The sequence below is a fragment of the Homo sapiens genome, chromosome 15 (assembly GCF_000001405.40).
Source record: "Homo sapiens chromosome 15, GRCh38.p14 Primary Assembly".
In the NCBI taxonomy this organism is placed as follows: Eukaryota; Metazoa; Chordata; class Mammalia; order Primates; family Hominidae; genus Homo; species Homo sapiens.
The window spans coordinates 90,143,239-90,159,936 of NC_000015.10; the positions used below are offsets into that span (position 1 = coordinate 90,143,239).

The 16,698-nt window shown below is 49.2% G+C and overlaps 4 annotated features.

The window, feature by feature from the left end:
- Positions 303 to 837: an enhancer, noted in NCBI's record as "H3K27ac-H3K4me1 hESC enhancer chr15:90686773-90687307 (GRCh37/hg19 assembly coordinates)". NCBI's record gives its function as "activates a minimal SCP1, AML or CMV promoter by ChIP-STARR-seq in naive H9 embryonic stem cells {active_cell/tissue: H9 hESC(naive)}" and the evidence as "EXISTENCE:reporter gene assay evidence [ECO:0000049][PMID:30033119]".
- Positions 5,951 to 6,160: an enhancer, noted in NCBI's record as "active region_10063". NCBI's record gives its function as "activates an Ori minimal core promoter by ATAC-STARR-seq in GM12878 lymphoblastoid cells {active_cell/tissue: GM12878}" and the evidence as "EXISTENCE:reporter gene assay evidence [ECO:0000049][PMID:35858748]".
- Positions 14,624 to 15,141: an enhancer, noted in NCBI's record as "H3K4me1 hESC enhancer chr15:90701094-90701611 (GRCh37/hg19 assembly coordinates)". NCBI's record gives its function as "activates a minimal SCP1, AML or CMV promoter by ChIP-STARR-seq in naive H9 embryonic stem cells {active_cell/tissue: H9 hESC(naive)}" and the evidence as "EXISTENCE:reporter gene assay evidence [ECO:0000049][PMID:30033119]".
- Positions 15,142 to 15,658: an enhancer, noted in NCBI's record as "H3K4me1 hESC enhancer chr15:90701612-90702128 (GRCh37/hg19 assembly coordinates)". NCBI's record gives its function as "activates a minimal SCP1, AML or CMV promoter by ChIP-STARR-seq in naive H9 embryonic stem cells {active_cell/tissue: H9 hESC(naive)}" and the evidence as "EXISTENCE:reporter gene assay evidence [ECO:0000049][PMID:30033119]".

Sequence of the window (16,698 nt, forward strand, 5' to 3'; positions counted from 1 at the left end):
ATTCTGTTTCTTGGTGAGGAGAAAGCCTGTCTTGAAGGAGGTGTGGAGGAGGCGGGGGCCGGCAGCCAGTTGACGAACAGCCAGAAGGTGGCAGTGTCTACCTGGGGAGGGGCAGTGGGCTGAGCCCCTGGCTGGGGCGAGTCCTTTATCACACCACAGCCAGGGCCAGCTGTGTGCAGCCCCAGATTACTCCTTGACAAGACTCAGTCCCGCCAGGCCCTCCCCGCAGGCCTGTTTTTTATGCTGGTCTGGCCATGAGGTAAGGCTGGATAGGGACAAAGTGCCCGAGCATGACAGCTGCCCAGGCTGGGCCCAGTTGCACAGCTTGGGTGGCCCTAGCCTTCGAGCTCTAAATCGAGTCTCCTCCTACTCCTAGCCCATGGCAGTCGGGCCCCGGACATTCTCCTCACTGCTTCCAGGATTCTAGAGGGCTTTCCAGTGCCCCTGGCCCCAGTCCTGCAGTGTTGACCTCCTGAGTCCCTGCCTCTCACTTCCCGGTGATGTCCCTCTGCTCTGTGCCCATCCTAGAAAAAAAAAAAAAAAAAGCCCTCTTTCTATGCTTTCTTTTTTCTTTCTTTTCTTTCTTTCTTTTTTTTTTTTAATGAGACAGTCTTTTTCTGTCACCCAGACTGGAGTGCAGTGACGTGATCTCAGCTCACTGTAACCTCTGCCTCCCAGGTTCAAGCGATTCTCCTGTCTCAGCCTCCCGAGTAGCTGGGACTACAGACACCCGCCACCACACCCGGCTAATTTTTGTATTTCTGGTAGAGATGGGGTTTCACCATGTTGATCAGGCTGGTCTTGAACTTTTGACCTCGTGATCCACCCACCTTGGCCTCCCAAAGTGCTGGGATTACAGGCGTGAGCCACAACGCCCGGCTTTTTCGTATTTTTAATGGAGATGCGGTTTCACCATGTTGGCCAGGCTGGTCTCAAACTCCTGACCTCAGGTGACCCACCCGCCTCAGCCTCCCAAAGTGAAAGTGCTGGGATTACAGGTGTGAGCCACCGTGCCCGGCCTTTCTATGCTTTCTTGTCACATGAGCTACAGCTTTTACTGAAGGCTTGGGCAATAGAGGGGTGTACTGGGGTGTACTTAGTAGGAAAACAAACCATTTCAAAAAGAATAGTACAGATCCTGTTCTTAAAAGTCCTTTGAGGTCTGGCATGGTGGCTCATGCCTGTAATCCCAACACTTTGGGAGGCCAAGACAGGCAGATCACAAGGACAAGAGTTCGAGACCAGCCTGGCCAACATGGTGAAACCCCGTCTTTACTAAAAATTAAAGAATTAGCCGGGGGTGGTGGCATGCGCCCGTAGTCCCAGCTACTCAGGAGGCTGAGGCAGGAGAATTGCTTGAACCTGGGAGGCAGAAGCTGTAGTGAGCTGAGATCGCACCACTGTACTCCAGCCTGGGCCACAGAGCAAGACTCCATCACCAAAAAAAAAAAAAGAAAAGAAAAAAAAAAAGTCCTTCGAGGCTGGGTGCAGTGGCTCACTCCTGTGATCCCAACACTTTGGGAGGCTGAGGCGGGCGGATCACCTGAGGTTGGGAGTTCAAGACCAACATGACCAACATCGAGAAACTCCATCTTACTAAAAATACAAAATTAGCTGGGTGTGGCAGCACATGCCCGTAATCCGAGCTACTCGGGAGGCTGAGGTAGGAGAATCACTTGAACCCAGAGGCGGAGGTTGCAGTGAGCTGAGATCACGCCATTGCACTCCAGCCTGGGCAACAAGAGTCTCAAAAAAAAAAAAAAAGCCCTTTGGTCTCCCCGCCACTGTGAAATTCTCAGTGGACACATACCTCCCAGGCTCTGCCCTTGCCATTTTGTTTTCTCCCTCCCTCCTCCCTCCTTCACCCTTCATTTCTATGACCATCTTTCCATTTCTTCTTCTCTTTTGGGGTCCCTCGCCCCCAAGTTCCGGTTAACGTTCTCTGTAAAGCCGTTTGATTCCTCCTGTGTTTAAACATCTTCCTTCAACTATGTCCTTAGCACCTCCCCTTCCTCAACAAAAGTGGCTATCAAGATATTTTCCTAAACAAAAACCGGTCTCACCCTGCTAAATGCATTGGAAACTTACCACCTGGTGTATATATTGGCCTCCTGAGCAATTGATTAGTCTGAGTCCACAGCTGGGACCTGGCTCTCCTCTCCACCAGCTGCCAGGCGGAGGGCAGACCCAGGGCCCCAGGGGTGAATTTGTCAGGGCAAAGGCCTCTGTGGGCAGCCTCTTGGCAGCCTGCCAGTAGCCCCTTCTGGCAGCGTCCCACCTCTCCCGGCATCACAGATCAAGCCTCAGAAGAGCAGGGCCTAAGGAGAAAACCCGAGAGTGACGATGGCAAAGAGTGATCACAACACCCCAGGTGGGTGGACTCCGGGGGAACGCAGAGGTACTCGGGCCCAGAGCTGGTGGGAGAGGGGAGGTGATGGGAAACTGGACACCCAGAAAGTCCCACCAGCATGGAAATCCACTGGGGGGCTCAGCACCCCTGGAGAGGCACTGGGAGTTGGGAGGATCAAAGGAAAGACAGGGCTCTCACTGCCGGTGAATAGGACAAGCTGGGAAGGAAACAGACAATGCTTTCCAGGTTGGATTGCCAAGGCAGAGAGGCAAGAGAGGGGATGGAGAGAAGTCTTCAAAACTGCCATTCAAGGCCAGGCACAGTGGCTCTCCACCTGTAATCCCAACACTTTGGGAAGTTGAGGCAGGAGGATCGCTTGAGCCTAGGAGTTTGCGACCAGCCTGGGCAACATAGCAAGACCCCGTCTCTAAAAAAGTAGAAAACTTAGCAGGACATGGTGGTGTATGCCTATAGTCAGAGCTATTCAGAAGGCTGAGGTGAGAGGACTGTGTGAGCCCAGAACATCTAGGCTGCAGTGAGCTGACATCACACCACTACACTCATTCAGCCTGGACGACAAAGTGAGACCCTGTCACAAAAAAAGAAAAAAAAAAAAAACAGGCCAGGCATGGTTGCTCATGCTCATAATCCTAGCACTTTGGGAGTTTAAGGCAGGCAGATTGCCTGAGTTCAGTAGTTTGAGACCAGCCTGGCCAACATGGTGAAACCCGGTCTCTACTAAAAATACAAAAATTAGCCAGGCATGGTGGGGAGCACCTGTAATCCCAGCTACTCAGGAGGCTGAGGCATGAGAATCACTTGAACCTGGGAGGCGGAGGTTGCAGTGAGCTGAGATCGCACCACCGCACTCCAGCCTGGGTGAAAGAACTAGACTCCATTTCAAAACAAAACAAAAACCAAAAAACTGCTCTTCAATAAGCCCTTACCACGTGTCAGGCACTGAACACTGACAGCAGCTAACAATTACACTGACTTACTCCACACCAGGCTTGTTCTAAGCAGCTGCTGTCCAATAAACACATAATGCAAGCCACATAGGTAGTTTTGTTGTTGTTGTTAATGTTTGTTTTTGGGTTTTTTTTGAGATGGAGTTTCACTCTTGTTGCCCAGGCTGGAGTGCAATAGTGTGATCTTGGCTCACCGCAACCTCCGCCTCCCGGGTTCAAGTGACTCTCCTGCCTCAGCCTCCCGAGTAGCTGGGATTACAGGCATGTGCCACCATGCCCGGCTAATTTTGTATTTTTAGTGGAGATGGGGTTTCTCCATGTTGGTCAGGCTGGTCTCAAACTCCAGACCTCAGGTGATCCGCCCGCCTCGGCCTCCCAAAGTGCTAGGATTACAGGCGTGAGCCACTGCGCCTGGCCTAGTAGTTGTTTTTTAATTTATTAATTTACTTTTCACCATGGCAGAAAAGAGCGTAGTTTTAAAAACTCTAGTAGCTGCATTTTTAAAAGTAAAAACAAAAAACCCACTGGTGAAATTAATTGTAATAATATATTCTATTTAGACTGAGTGTGGTGGCTCACTCCTGTCCTCCCAGCAGTTTGGGAGGCTGAGGCAGGCAGATCACTTGAGGTCAGAAGTTCAAGACCAGCCTGGCCAATATGGGGAAAGCCCGTCTCTACCAAAAATACAAAAATTAGCCAGGCGTGATGGCATACGCCTGTAATCCCAGCTACTCAGGAGGCTGAGGCAGAAGAACCGGTTGAAGCCTGGAGGTGGAGGTTGCAGTGAGCCGAGATGGTGCCACTACACTCCAGCCTGGAGGTGGAGGTTGCAGTGAGCCGAGATGGTGCCACTACACTCCAGCCTGGGCAACAGAGTGAGACTCCATCTCAAAAACAAACAAACAAATAATATATTCTATGTATTACAATATATTCTATGTAACCCAATATAATCAATAATTAGGGAGTTATTTTACTTTTTTTTGAGACAGGGTCTCACTCTGTTGCCTAGACTGGAGTGTGGCACGATCACAACTCACTACATCCTTGACCTCCCCTAGGCTCAGGTGATCCTTCCACCTCAGCCTCCCGAGTAGTTGGGACTATAGGCGCGTACCACCAGGCCCTGATAATGTTTTGTATTTTTTGTAAAGATGGGGTTTCACGATGTTGCCCAGGCTGGTCTCAAACTCCTGGACTCAAACAATCCACCCACCTCAGCCTCCCAAAGTGCTGGGATTACAGGTATGAGCTATTGCACCTGGCCTTTTTTGTATGAAGTCTTCAAAATCCGATGTGAATTTATGCATACATCACATTTCAGGGTTTTTTTGTTTGTTTTGTTTTTTTGAGACAGGGTCTCACTCTGTCACCCTGGCTGGAGTGCAGTGGCACAATCATGGCTCACTGCAGCTTTGACCTTCTAAACTCAAGCAGTCCTCCTTCCTCAGCCTCCCGAGTAGCTGAGACTACAGGCACATGCCACCACACCAGGCTAATTTTTAAATTTTTTTTTTTTTTTTTGTAGAGACAGGGTCTCACCATGTTGTCCAGGCTGGTCACAAACTCCTGGGCTCAAGCGATCCTCCCGCCTCAGCTTCTCAAACTGTTGGGATTACAGGTGTGAGCCACTGTGCCTGGCCTCCCGACTCAGCCTCCCAAAGTGTTGGGATTACAGGCGCGAGCACCACGCAGGGTACATCTCAGTTTAGACAAACCACGTTTTCTTTTTGTTTTACTTTTTCTTTTTTTTTTTTGAGATGGAGTCTCGCATTGTTACGATCTCAGCTCACTGCAACCTCCGCCTCCCAGGTTCAAGCAATTCTCCTTGCCTCAGCCTCCCAAGTAGCTGGGATAGACAAGCCACATTTCAAGTGCTCAGTAGGTACTGTGGCTGATGGCTACACTATTAGATGCAGCTGTCTAAGTGCTTTAGCTGTGTTAGTCCTCACAACTGTGCTTTTGTTATCCTCATTTTACAGATGAGAAAATTTACACAGAAAGTGCTTCAGCACTTTGCCCATTGCTACCCAGAAAGAAAAGGGCTGAGCTGGAATCTGAGCCACCAAGGTCAGCCAACTGAGGGTCCACAGTCTGGTGTCCTAACAACTGTGCTATGCTGTCAGCTTCACAAATCTCATCTCCCATAGGAGGTCATCAAAAAGCTGCTTGCAGCTGGGTGCAGTGGCTCACACCTGTAATCCCGGCACTTTGGGAGGCCGAGGCAGGCAGACCACTTGAGGTCAGGAGTTCAAGACCAGCCTGGCCAACATGGTGAAACCCCATCTCTACTAAAAATACAAAAATTAGCCAGGTGTGGTGGTGCGTGCCTGTAGTCTCAGCTACTTGGGAGGCTGAAGCAGGAGAATCTGCTTGAACCCTGGAGGCGGAGGTTGCAGCAAGCCAAGATTGCGCCACTGCACTCCAGCCTGGGTGACAGAGCAAGACTCTATCTCAAAAAGAAAGAAAGAAAGAAAGAGAGAGAGAGGAAGGAAGGAAGGAAGGAGGGAAGAAAGAAAGAAAGAAAACAATAATCCAATATATAGGCAAGAGCCCTTACTTCTCTACTACTTACAGTCTAGTGTTCAGAGAATGTAGGAGTGAGCCCAGAGAGCTTCCCAAGCCTACCATGTCGTCACTGCCTACAAGAGTCCCTGAAGATGGCCACACAAAACCCTGGGGCTTACTCATACATGTTCACAGTTTCATTTTCTTATCATATTGGTCAGTTTCATCTACACTGGAACGTGGTTCCACCTATCTTTCTGTTCTCTGATAAGCTTCAGCTCAAGGGGAAACATTTCTGGGGCCACAGGTTCTGTTGCCTGCCTCTGCAAAGAGCACATTACGCAAAGCAGATGTTCTGTGCCCAATTCAGTCTCTGCTATCAGAAAAGCTGTGTTCAGAGCCACATGGAGCCTGCAGCCTCCTGCTTTGCGGGAATGTTTGTGTAAAGGTTCCTGGCTTTCTCTTTGTTTACATCTGACTGTTTACCTTTCAGTCCCATCTCGTCTTCTGCTCAGTGAACAGTTTTTGCACTGGCAGGAGCCAGGTCGAACAGTTCCATAAACTGCTTTTTTATGGTTCTCAGTAGAGCAGAGGTTTGAAATTAGAGAACCTGAATGTTGGCTCAAGGAGGACACAAACTCCCTGAATTAGTGTCCAAATCTATGTGTGTGTGTGTGTGTGTGTGTGTGTGTTTGTGTCTTTCTAGGGGGTGGTTCCTTATTCTCATTGGATTTCCAAAGGGGTCTGGAACCCACAACAGGGTCAGAACACCTGGGTATATGGTGGGCCCCAAGGGGCCACCAAATGGAACGTTCTGCCGTCTGCTCTTTGGAATATTCTTCTGGCCAAGAGCCACCACTTCCCTGACTCCGGCCTTTCTCTTCCCCACTGTCACCAACAGGGGATATAGGCTTTCTATTGGGCACCACTCCTCACTGAGAACTGCTCTCAGGGCTTTCTGAGCCTGTTGGTGTGACTGCGGTGGTGGCAGCTTGCAGGAGAGACACCTCACTCTTTGCTTTGTGGGATCCTCTGCTTGGTCCCTGACTCACAGACTGAAGCTCAAATTCTAGCCACGCACCAAAAAGTGACCGACAGCCGGGCGCGGTGGCTCGTGCCTATAATCCCAGCACTTTGGGAGGCCGAGGCGGGCGTTTCACCATGTTGGCCAGGCTGGTCCCAAACTCCTGACCATTGCATTTGTTTGCAATGTAATTTGCAAACAAATTTGGTAGGCTGCCATAACAAAAGTTCCACAGACTGGGTGGCTTAAACCGTAGACATTTAGCTTCTTACAATTCTAGAGTCCAGAAGTTCACAATCAAGGTGTCTGCAGAGCTGATTTATTCTGAGGTGTCTCTCTTTGGCTTGCAGATGGCCATTTTCTCCTTGTGTCCTCACATTTTTCCCTCTTGCATGTCTGTGTCCTAATCTTCTCTTCCCTTTTATTTTTTTGAGGCAGAGTTTTGCTCTTGTTGCCCAGGCTGGAGTGTAATGGCGTGATCTCGGCGCACTGCAACCTCTGCCTCCCGGGTTCAAGCGATTCTCCTCCCTTAGTCTCCCAAGTAGCTGGGATTACAGGCATGCACCACTACACCCGGCTAATTTTGAATTTTTAATAGAGACGGGGTTTCACCAGGTGGTCAGTCTGGTCTCAACTCCTGATCTCAAGTGATCCGCCCGCCTCAGCCTCCCAAAGTCCTGGGATTACAGGCATGAGCCACCGTGCCTGGCCCTGCCTAATCTTCTCTTCTTATAAGGACAGCCATCCTACTGGATTAGGGCCCACCCTAAGGACCTCATTTTAACTTAATTACCTCTTTAAAGACTTTACCTACAAATACATATGAAGCTAGAACTTCTTGGTGAACATAATTCAGTCCATACCACTATCTTACACTTCTGTGATTACAAAAGCAACATATGCTCCCTGTAGAAAATATGGGAACATCAGAAATGGAAAAACTAAGACAAGAATCTCTGCAAAAATCTTGTTTTTTTGTTTTTATTTATATTTATTTATTTTGATTATTTTTGTTTTGAGACAAGACCTACTCTGCCACCCAGACTGGAGTGCAGTGGCACAGTCACAGCTCATGGAAGCCTTAAGCTCCTGGGCTCAGACAATTCTTTGGCCTCAGCCTCCAAGTACCTGGACTACAGGTGTGCACCACCATGCACCATGCCTAGCTAATTTTTAAAATTTTTTTGTAGAGACAGAGTCTCACTATGTTTCCCAGGCTGGTCTTGAGCTCCTGAGCTCAAGCAAGCCTCACACCTCGGCCTCCCAATGTGCTGGGATTACAAGCATGAGCCACCGCACCTGGCCCTGTTTTTTTTTTTTTTTTTAAGTGTATAAAGTAAAAGTGAAAATATACCCTTCATTCCTCATTTCTACCTTCTTCCCCAAAGAACACTGCTGTGATAGTGAGGGACCTTTTTTGGGTTTGTCCAAACTGCTTCCAGTAACATCCTTGCCCTCCAGCTACACCTGTTCCTGCTGGTGCTCTGGAGAACAGGCCCCTTGTGCCGGGGTTGCTGGTGGATCAAATCTTTGGGCACAGTCACAGGGATTCTGCAGAAGTGGAATTGTTTTGTCAAAGGGTATACAAAATGTTCATAATTAGAGCTCAGATTTAAAAGAATTTTTTTTTTTTTTTTTTTGAGACAGAGTCTCACCGCGCCCGGCCTAAAAGGAAATTTTAAAAGAAGGCATGTAAAGATACAGGAGACCTGGCCAGGCACGGTGGCTCATGTCTGTAATCCCAGCACTTTGGGAGGCTGAGGGGGGTGGATCACAAGGTCAGGAGTTTGAGACCAACCTGGCCAAAATGGCAAAACCCCATCTCTACTAAAAATACAAAAATTAGCCGGGCGTGGTGGTGGACACCTGTAATCCCAGCTACTCCAGAGGCTGAGGCAGGAGAAGCGCTTGAACCCAGGAGGCGGAGGTTGCAGTGAGCCGAGATTGTGCCATTGCACTCCAACCTGGGCGGCAAGAGCAAGACTCTGTCTCAAAAAAAACAAAACAAAAAAAAAAGACACAGGAGCCTGTTAGGATAGCCTCCCTACGGTACTGGTACTGAAATGTTAACCGTGCTTGATCTTAGGTAATGGGGCAGGAAGTTGTTTTTCCTTCCTTTGTCTTGCTACCTAGCTGGATTTTCTACATTTTCTTTCATGAGCTTGTGCTACTTTTTGTAATGGAGGAAATAAACAACTGTAATAGAATGCTGCCAGAGAAGACAATTGAAAGGAACTTTTGGTTCTGTTCAGAAAGGGCAGGCCTGCTGCTAGTAGCTGCAGGGGACAGACAGCGGATGGGGCAGGGGGATTTCTGGCAGAGGCTGAAATGGAAGGTGGGACCTGTGGCCAGTGTGGTGGGGGCGGGGCAGTCTCTGCCTTTCAGACCTGGGAGGGAACTGTGTGCATGAGCTTTGCCAGGGAGGGAGGTAGCTCTTAGCTGGTCCAAGATAGGCCGAAGAGTTTGTAAACAAGTGCCTGGCTACTCAAAAAAAGTTTAGGTCCTTTGGCCCAGACTAGTTCTATCCCAGGCTACTGAGAAACGGGATGCTGAGTCCCTGCCACTGGTCTTTGAAAAACGACAATGGAAGATGCGCTGAAAGATTGGAGAGGGTCAAAACGCCATTCCCTTTCCTGAAAGGAAGGCAACAGAAACTTCAAACATTGGGGCAGAGGGCTAAGCAAGATTAAAGGGTGACTCAGGACCCCGTAGAAAAGGATGTGACAATTCATGGGAGCTGGAATGGGTCATCAACTGCAGCCCCAGACCAACCTCAGCTCGTGATGTGAGGCACAGAGATCCTAGATTCAGCAGGTCTCCTAACAGACTTATTATTGTTTGCAGCCAAGATGGAGAAATATGGAGTAGACACTAGAACGGTCAGGTCAAATGACAGCCCCCAAATCAGTGGACTGATGCCAAGGTGAGGCAGGTCTCTAAGTCCATGTCAAAAGGCTCTGTTCGCCTTGTTGCCCAGGTTGGAGTGCAGTGGCATGGTAACTGATCACTTCAGCCTCAGCCTCTGGGTTCAAGGGATCCTCCCACTTCACCCTCCTGAGTAGCTGGGACTACAGGCACCATCACACCTGACTAATTTTTTTTTTTTTTTGAGAGGGAGTCTCGCTCTGTCCCCCAGGCTGGAGTGCAGTGGCGCAGTCTCGGCTCACTGCAACCTCCGCCTCCCAGGTTCACACCACTCTCCTACCTCAGCCTCTCAAGTAGCTGGGACTACAGGCACCCGCCACCACGCCCAGCTAATTTTTTTGTATTTTTAGTAGAGACGGGGTTTCACCATGTTAGCCAGGATGGTCTTGATCTCCTGATCTCGTGATCCGCCTGCCTCAGCCTCCCAAAGTGCTGGGATTATAGGCGTGAGCCACCATGCCTGGCCACACCTGACTAATTTTTAAATTTTTTTTAGAGATGGAGTCTCACTGTGTGCCCAGGCTGGTCTTGAATGCCTGGGCTCAAATAATTCTCCCACCTTGGCCTGCTAATCCACAGGGATTACAGGCATGTACCATTATGCCTGGTTAGTTTGTTTTTGTTTTTGTTTTTGTTTTTGTTTTTGTTTTGTAGAGACAGGGTCTCGCCATGTTGCCTAGGCCTCAATCTCCTGATCTCAAGTGATCCTCCTGCCTTGGCCCCCCAGAGCGCTGGGATTACAGGTGTGAACTACCCTACCTGGCCCTAGTTGTTCTGTTCAGAAGCCAGATTACAGAATCTAAATGGGTCATCCAGTGACTAGCCAAATCCAAACAGGTACAAGTCCAAAAGCTGAGATCATCGCTGACAGCAGAATCTCTCCCAGAGAATTGGTGATGAGCCATTCCGGAGGCAGTGGGTGGGCAACTGCCCAGGGCTATATTCAGTCCTCGTGGCCATGGGAGGGGGCTGCATCCTGAGTGTTTAAAAGTCCTGATGAAATCCAGATGTAAGGATGAATGATGCTAAGGAGTTGGAACTCGGCATGGTAACATGGCTGCCTTGGGCTTTCTTGACCTGATGTCTTTAGCTATTTGGTCCATCTGATTGTCTTTAGTTGAGTTTCTTATTCACTGAACAGCTTTGTACGTCCTTTGAATATTTCCAAATTGTGTGCCAATTGCATTTTCCACTGTAAATGAATCAACTGGCCTTCTGTTTGTGTTTTGAAAAATTACAAGTAACGACTGGACAGGCCCAACGGAATCCCTCAATCTCCCCCATGCAACATTCCTCACTAATGACCTTCCTGGCCTGAGAGGTGGTTAAAAATAGTGCCATCTGCCCTCAAGCTACACTGCTTCAGGTATTGCGCTTCATAATCCATGCCCTCTATACTGAACCTCGTGGCCAGGACAAGCTTCCAGGGCAGTCACAGTCAGAGTGGACAGCTGTCACCTGTAGTTGGCCACAGCCCTATCAATGAGTAGGGCCTGCACCAACCCTGCTCAAGTGTTCTCTGCAGAGAGTGAGCAGCATACCTGGCTTCGTGAGGTGGGGACCCTTGTGGCTCTGGGCATCCAAAGGACTTGATTTCTCCCTTGGAAGATAGAGGCAGGGGCAGGACCAGGGCATAAGCAGTTATGCTAGTGAGGTGTACTCTGATGCCCCCCGGTACAGTCTGAAGTCTGCAGGAGTTGAAAGACGTGTGCAGGTGGGCCAGGTATCCCTAGCAGTGGTTTCTATTTGTGGCAGCCAAATGGTGAGAGCAAGAAGGTGGAGAGGACCGCGGAACCTTTGCAAAGGCAAACCAGTGAGAGTAAGTGCCAGATGGGCCACAGTGCCTTGGGGGACGTAATGGTTGTATCTCCAGAGATGAGTAGATGCTGACTTCCTATTTAACATCAATCCAGTCCCCCAAATGCCTCCGTCGGTGGGCCTGGCATTCTTCCAGACTCCCTTCAAACCATGTTTCCAGCAAGCACCCTGCCATCAGCCTTACTCCCACGCTGATTACTGGCTCTCAGCGCATGTATGTTTCGTTTACACTGTGCTGCTGTTTTGTAATTGTTTGCAAGTTGTGTCATATGTGTATGTTGTGTCTAAAGTGGATAGAGGCCTCTGAGATCAGGATCTAGTTTTCTCGAATCATCGTCCTCCTCCACAACCACCACCACCACCAATAACTGGCACCGAACACAGGGCATTACGTAATGCGGACAAAAATGCTTGTAAATGAGTTCATGTCACAGACACTCAGAAGTTTGCCCCCACTGTAAACAAACACTGTAGAGGTGAAAGGCTTTGTTTCCAAGGCTCAGGAACATGGAGAGAGGAGCCCTCTACCTTTGCAGTTCATTCAACAGACTAGGGATCTACTTGCCCTCACAGGGCTCTTAGAATAAGGAAAAAAAAGCAGAAGGCATGTTCCGCAACCTCACAGAACATATTCAGCTGGGAAGATTGTTCATGGAGTTGGCAAATCTTTTTTTTTTTTTTTTTTTTTAGACAGATTCTCACTCTGTCGCCCAGGCTGGAGTGCAATGGCACGATCTTGGCTCACTGCAACCTCCGTCTCCTGGGTTCGAGCAAGCAATTCTCCTGTCTCAGCCTCTGGAGTAGCTGGGACCACAGGCCACACCAACACTCCTGGCTAATTTTTGTATTTTTAGTAGAGACGGGTTTCACCATGTTAGCCAGGCTAATCTCAAACTCCTGACCTCAGGTGATCCACCCGCCTCAGCCTCCCAAACAGCTGGGATTACAGGCATGAGCCACCGCGCCTGGCCAGAGCTGGCAAATAATTAAAACAATTTTCAGACATCCCATCCTACCAACTTCACAGTTAAGTGTTAAAAGAAATTAGGTTGGCGGGGCGCAGTGGCTCACGCCTGTAATCCCAGCACTTTGGGAGGCCGAGGCAGGCGGATCATGAGGTCAGGAGATCAAGACCATCCTGGCTAACACAGTGAAACCCCGTCTCTACTAAAAATACAAAAAAATTAGCCGGGCGTGGTGGCGGGCGCCTGTAGTCCCAGCTACTCTGGAGGCTAAGGCAGGAGAATGGCATGAACCCGGGAGGCGGAGCTTGCAGTGAGCCGAGATCATGCCACTGCACTCCAGCCTGGGCGACAGAGCGAGACTCCGTCTCAAAAAAAAAAAAAAAAGAAATTAGGCCAGGCCAGGCGCAGTGGCTCATGCCTGTAATCCAAGCACTTTGGGAGGCTGAGGCGGGCAGATCACGAGGTCAGGAGTTCGAGACCAGCCTGGCCAACATAGTGAAACCCCATCTCTACTAAAAATACAAAAATTAGCCGGGCATGGTAGTGCACGCCTGTAGTCCCAGCTACTTGGGAGGCTGAGGCAGAAGAATCGCTTGAACCTGGGAGGCAGAGGTTACGGTGAGCTGAGATTGCGCCACTGCACTCCAGCCTGGACAACAGAGCAAGAATCCATCTCAAAAAAAAAAGAAAAGAAAAAAAAAAAAAAGAAAGAAATTAAGCCGGGTGCGGTGGCTCATGCCTGTAATCCCAGCATTTTGGAAGGCTGAGGCAGGTGGATCACCTGAGGTCAGGCGTTCGAGAGCAGCCTGGCCAACATGGTGAAACCCCATCTCTACTGAAAATACAAAAAATTAGCTGGGCATGGTGGCAGGTGCCTGTAGTTCCAGCTATTCGGGAGGCTGAGGCAGAAGAATCACTTGAACCGGGGAGATGGAGGTTGCAGTGAGCCAAAATTGTGCCCATTGCACTCAGGTCTGGGTGACAGAACAAAACTCTGTCTCAAAAAGGAAGGAAGGAAGGAAGGAAGGAAGGAAGGAAGGAAGGAGGGAGGGAGGGAGGGAGGGAAGAAAAGAAAAAAACAAGAAGAGAAGAGGAAAGGAAAGGAGAGGAGAGGAAAGGAAAGGAAAGGAGAGAAGAGGAGAGAAATTAGAGGCGGGACGTGGTGGCTCTTGCCTGTAATCCCAGCACTTTGGGAGGCCTAGGCAAGAGGATCAATTGAGGTCAGGAGTTTGAGACCAGCCTGGCCAACATGGTGAAACCCCGTCTCTACTAAAAATACAAAAATTAGCCAGGTGTGTGCACGCCTGTAGTCCTAGCTACTTGGGAGACTGAGGTAGGAGAATCGCTTGAACTCAGGAGGCAGAGGTTGCAGTGAGCTGAGATCGTGCCATTGCACTCCAGCCTGGGCAACAAGAGTGAAACTCTGTCTCAAAAAATAAATAAATAAAAATAAAAGAAATTAGAGTCAGAAACATTTGCTTTGGTTTTGGCAAATCCAAAACAGCTTTTTCTTTTTCTTTCTTTCCTTTTTTTTTTTTTTTTTGAGATGGAGTCTCACTCTATCGCCCAGGCTGGATTGCAGTGGCGCGATCTCGGCTCACTGCAACCACTGCCACCTGAGTTCAAGCAATTCTCCTGGGTCAGCCTCCCGAGTAGCTGGGATTACAGGCAACTGCCACCGTGCCTGGCTAATTTTTGTATTTTTAGTGGTCTTGAACTCCCGACGTCGTGGCCAGGCTGGTCTTGAACTCCTGACCTCGTGATCCACCCACCTCAGCCTGCCAAAGTGTTGGGATTACAGGCGTGAGCCACCGCACCAGGCCCAAAACAGCTTTTTCAAAAATTCTTTACTATGAGATTCTTTGAGATATCAACCTGTGTAACTTAAATGACCTATTGATATTCTCAGCTTTTCAGAAATGTATTTTCTTGAAAGAAGGAAGGAAGGAAGGAAGGAAGGAAGGAAGGAAGGAGAAAGAAAGAAAAAGAAAGGAAGGAAGGAAGGAAAGAAAGAAGGAAAGAAGGAAAGAAAGAAAGAAAGAAAGAAAGAAAGAAAGAAAGAAAGAAAGAAAGAAAGAAAGAAAAGAAAGAGAAAGAAAGAAAGAAAGAAAGAAAGAAAGAAAGAAAGAAAGAAAGAAAAAAAGAAAGAAAAAAAGAAAGAAATGGTGCAAATTCTCCAAAAAGGCCAACGTGCTGCGTGGCTCCTGGCCACGAGGGGGCATGGTCTCCCTAGTCCTAGGCTAAGGAACCAACGATGGGGACCCTAGCTGTGTCCAGCCTCAGCCTAGTGGAGTTGGGAGGAATGCCCTCTTGGCCAAGGTCCAGGAGTTCCAGGAGACTCCAGACCTCTTTTCCTGTACTAGCAACTCCCCGCAGCAGAGTGTATGTCTGGGGTGTAGAAAGCCACGAGCGCTCTAGGCTGAAGAGGAGGTCATGTTTAAATTACAGACTGAGCAGGAGTGCTGTGCAAGCAGCTTTGCCCAGGAGCCAGCAGGGCGGGTGGTGTCTGGGGCATGACCTTGGGTGGCTGTGGTGCTGGTTAGGGTGCTGGGTGGAGCCTGGCTGGCGAGGCTGGAGAGCATGGGCGGGGCAGCCACAGTACAGATGGGGCCACACAAAGCTTGTGGGAGCCGCTCTGACTGGCCAGCTGCTCCCAGCCCTGCCAGCGCTGGGATTGTGTGGTGTGATCAAGGCAAAGACCATGCTTTTCAGCAAGGTCGTCTGAAGTCTGGCTTCAATCTCCCTCCCTCCGCGTTACCTTTTCCAAAAGGACCTCTTCTCCAGCCCAGCTAATGACCTGCTCTTCCAGAAAATGACTTAAACTTTGCTTCATTGATTCATTTTTGCACTTACTTCGACACACAGCAAACACTTATTGAGCACATATGGTAGCCAGGCACTGTGGAAATACAGGACCTTGTCTGTGACTTCATAGACACTATAGTTTTTGTTTGTTTGTTTGTTTGTTTAACAGAGTCTCACTCTGTTGCCCAGGCTGGGGTGCAGTGGTGTGATCTCCGCTCACTGCAGCCTCCACCCCTCTGGCTTTTCTGCTTCAGCCTCTCAAGTAGCTGGGACTACAGGCACGCACCACCATGCCAGGCTAATTTTTGAATCTTTAGTGGAGATGGGGATTCACCATGTTTGCCGGACTGGTTTTGAACTCCCGACCTCAAGTGATCCGCCCGCCTCGGCCTCCCAAAGTGCTGGGATTACAGGCATGAGCCACCGCGCCCGGCGCATAGGCACTACAGTTTTATGCCTTTGAATCTTTATTCATGTTTTTCTATTTGTGGAAAATTCTCCTCATCCCTCTCTGCCTGGCCAGATTTTACCATCTTTCAGTGACCTCCTCATGCCTCACCAACTCCAGGGTCCCCTCTCTGATTATTCCAAAGTGAGAAAAGGGACCAGGCCCTTCTCATTCACTGTTATATCCTGAGTGACTAACAGGTGCCTGGTACAAGCAAGCACTCAAAAATATTGACAGAATGAATGAGGCAGTCTTGTCCCTCTCTGACTTCACAACCCTGTTGCCTAGAACTTTCACTTCCAGTCCTGCCCATGGCATTTCTCCTACTGAACTCTTGTGTTTATTACTACTCAGTGCTGGGTGGTTGGGTTAGGCAGGGCTCTGGATTTGCCAGGAACAGAAAGGAATTTATTGGTTCATTGAACCACACCATGGGAGGGGTAGCAGGAACCATAGGGGTCTGGGAATACAACGTCAGGACACTGCCACTCACACTGGCTTCTTTCATTGATGTCTTCATCCCCCACTACTGCAGAAAGCCTTTCGCCACCCAGAAAATGGCTATCAACCGGTCAGGATTCACATCCTACCAGCTTAGCAATCCAAGAAGAATAGGATTTTCCCCTCCAATTACCTTTTTTTTTTTTTCTTTTTGAGACAAGTCTCACCCTGTTGCCCAGGCTGGAGTGCAGTGGCACAATTATAGCTTACTGCAGCCTCGACCTCCCAGGCTCAAGTGATCCTTCTACCTCAGCCTCCCAAGTAGCTGGAACTACATGTGTGTGCCAACATGCCTGGCTAATTTTTTTAATTTTTTGTAGGGACGGGGGGTTGGGGGGGGTCTCACTATGTTACCCAGGCTGGTCTCGAACTCCTGAGCTCAGGCA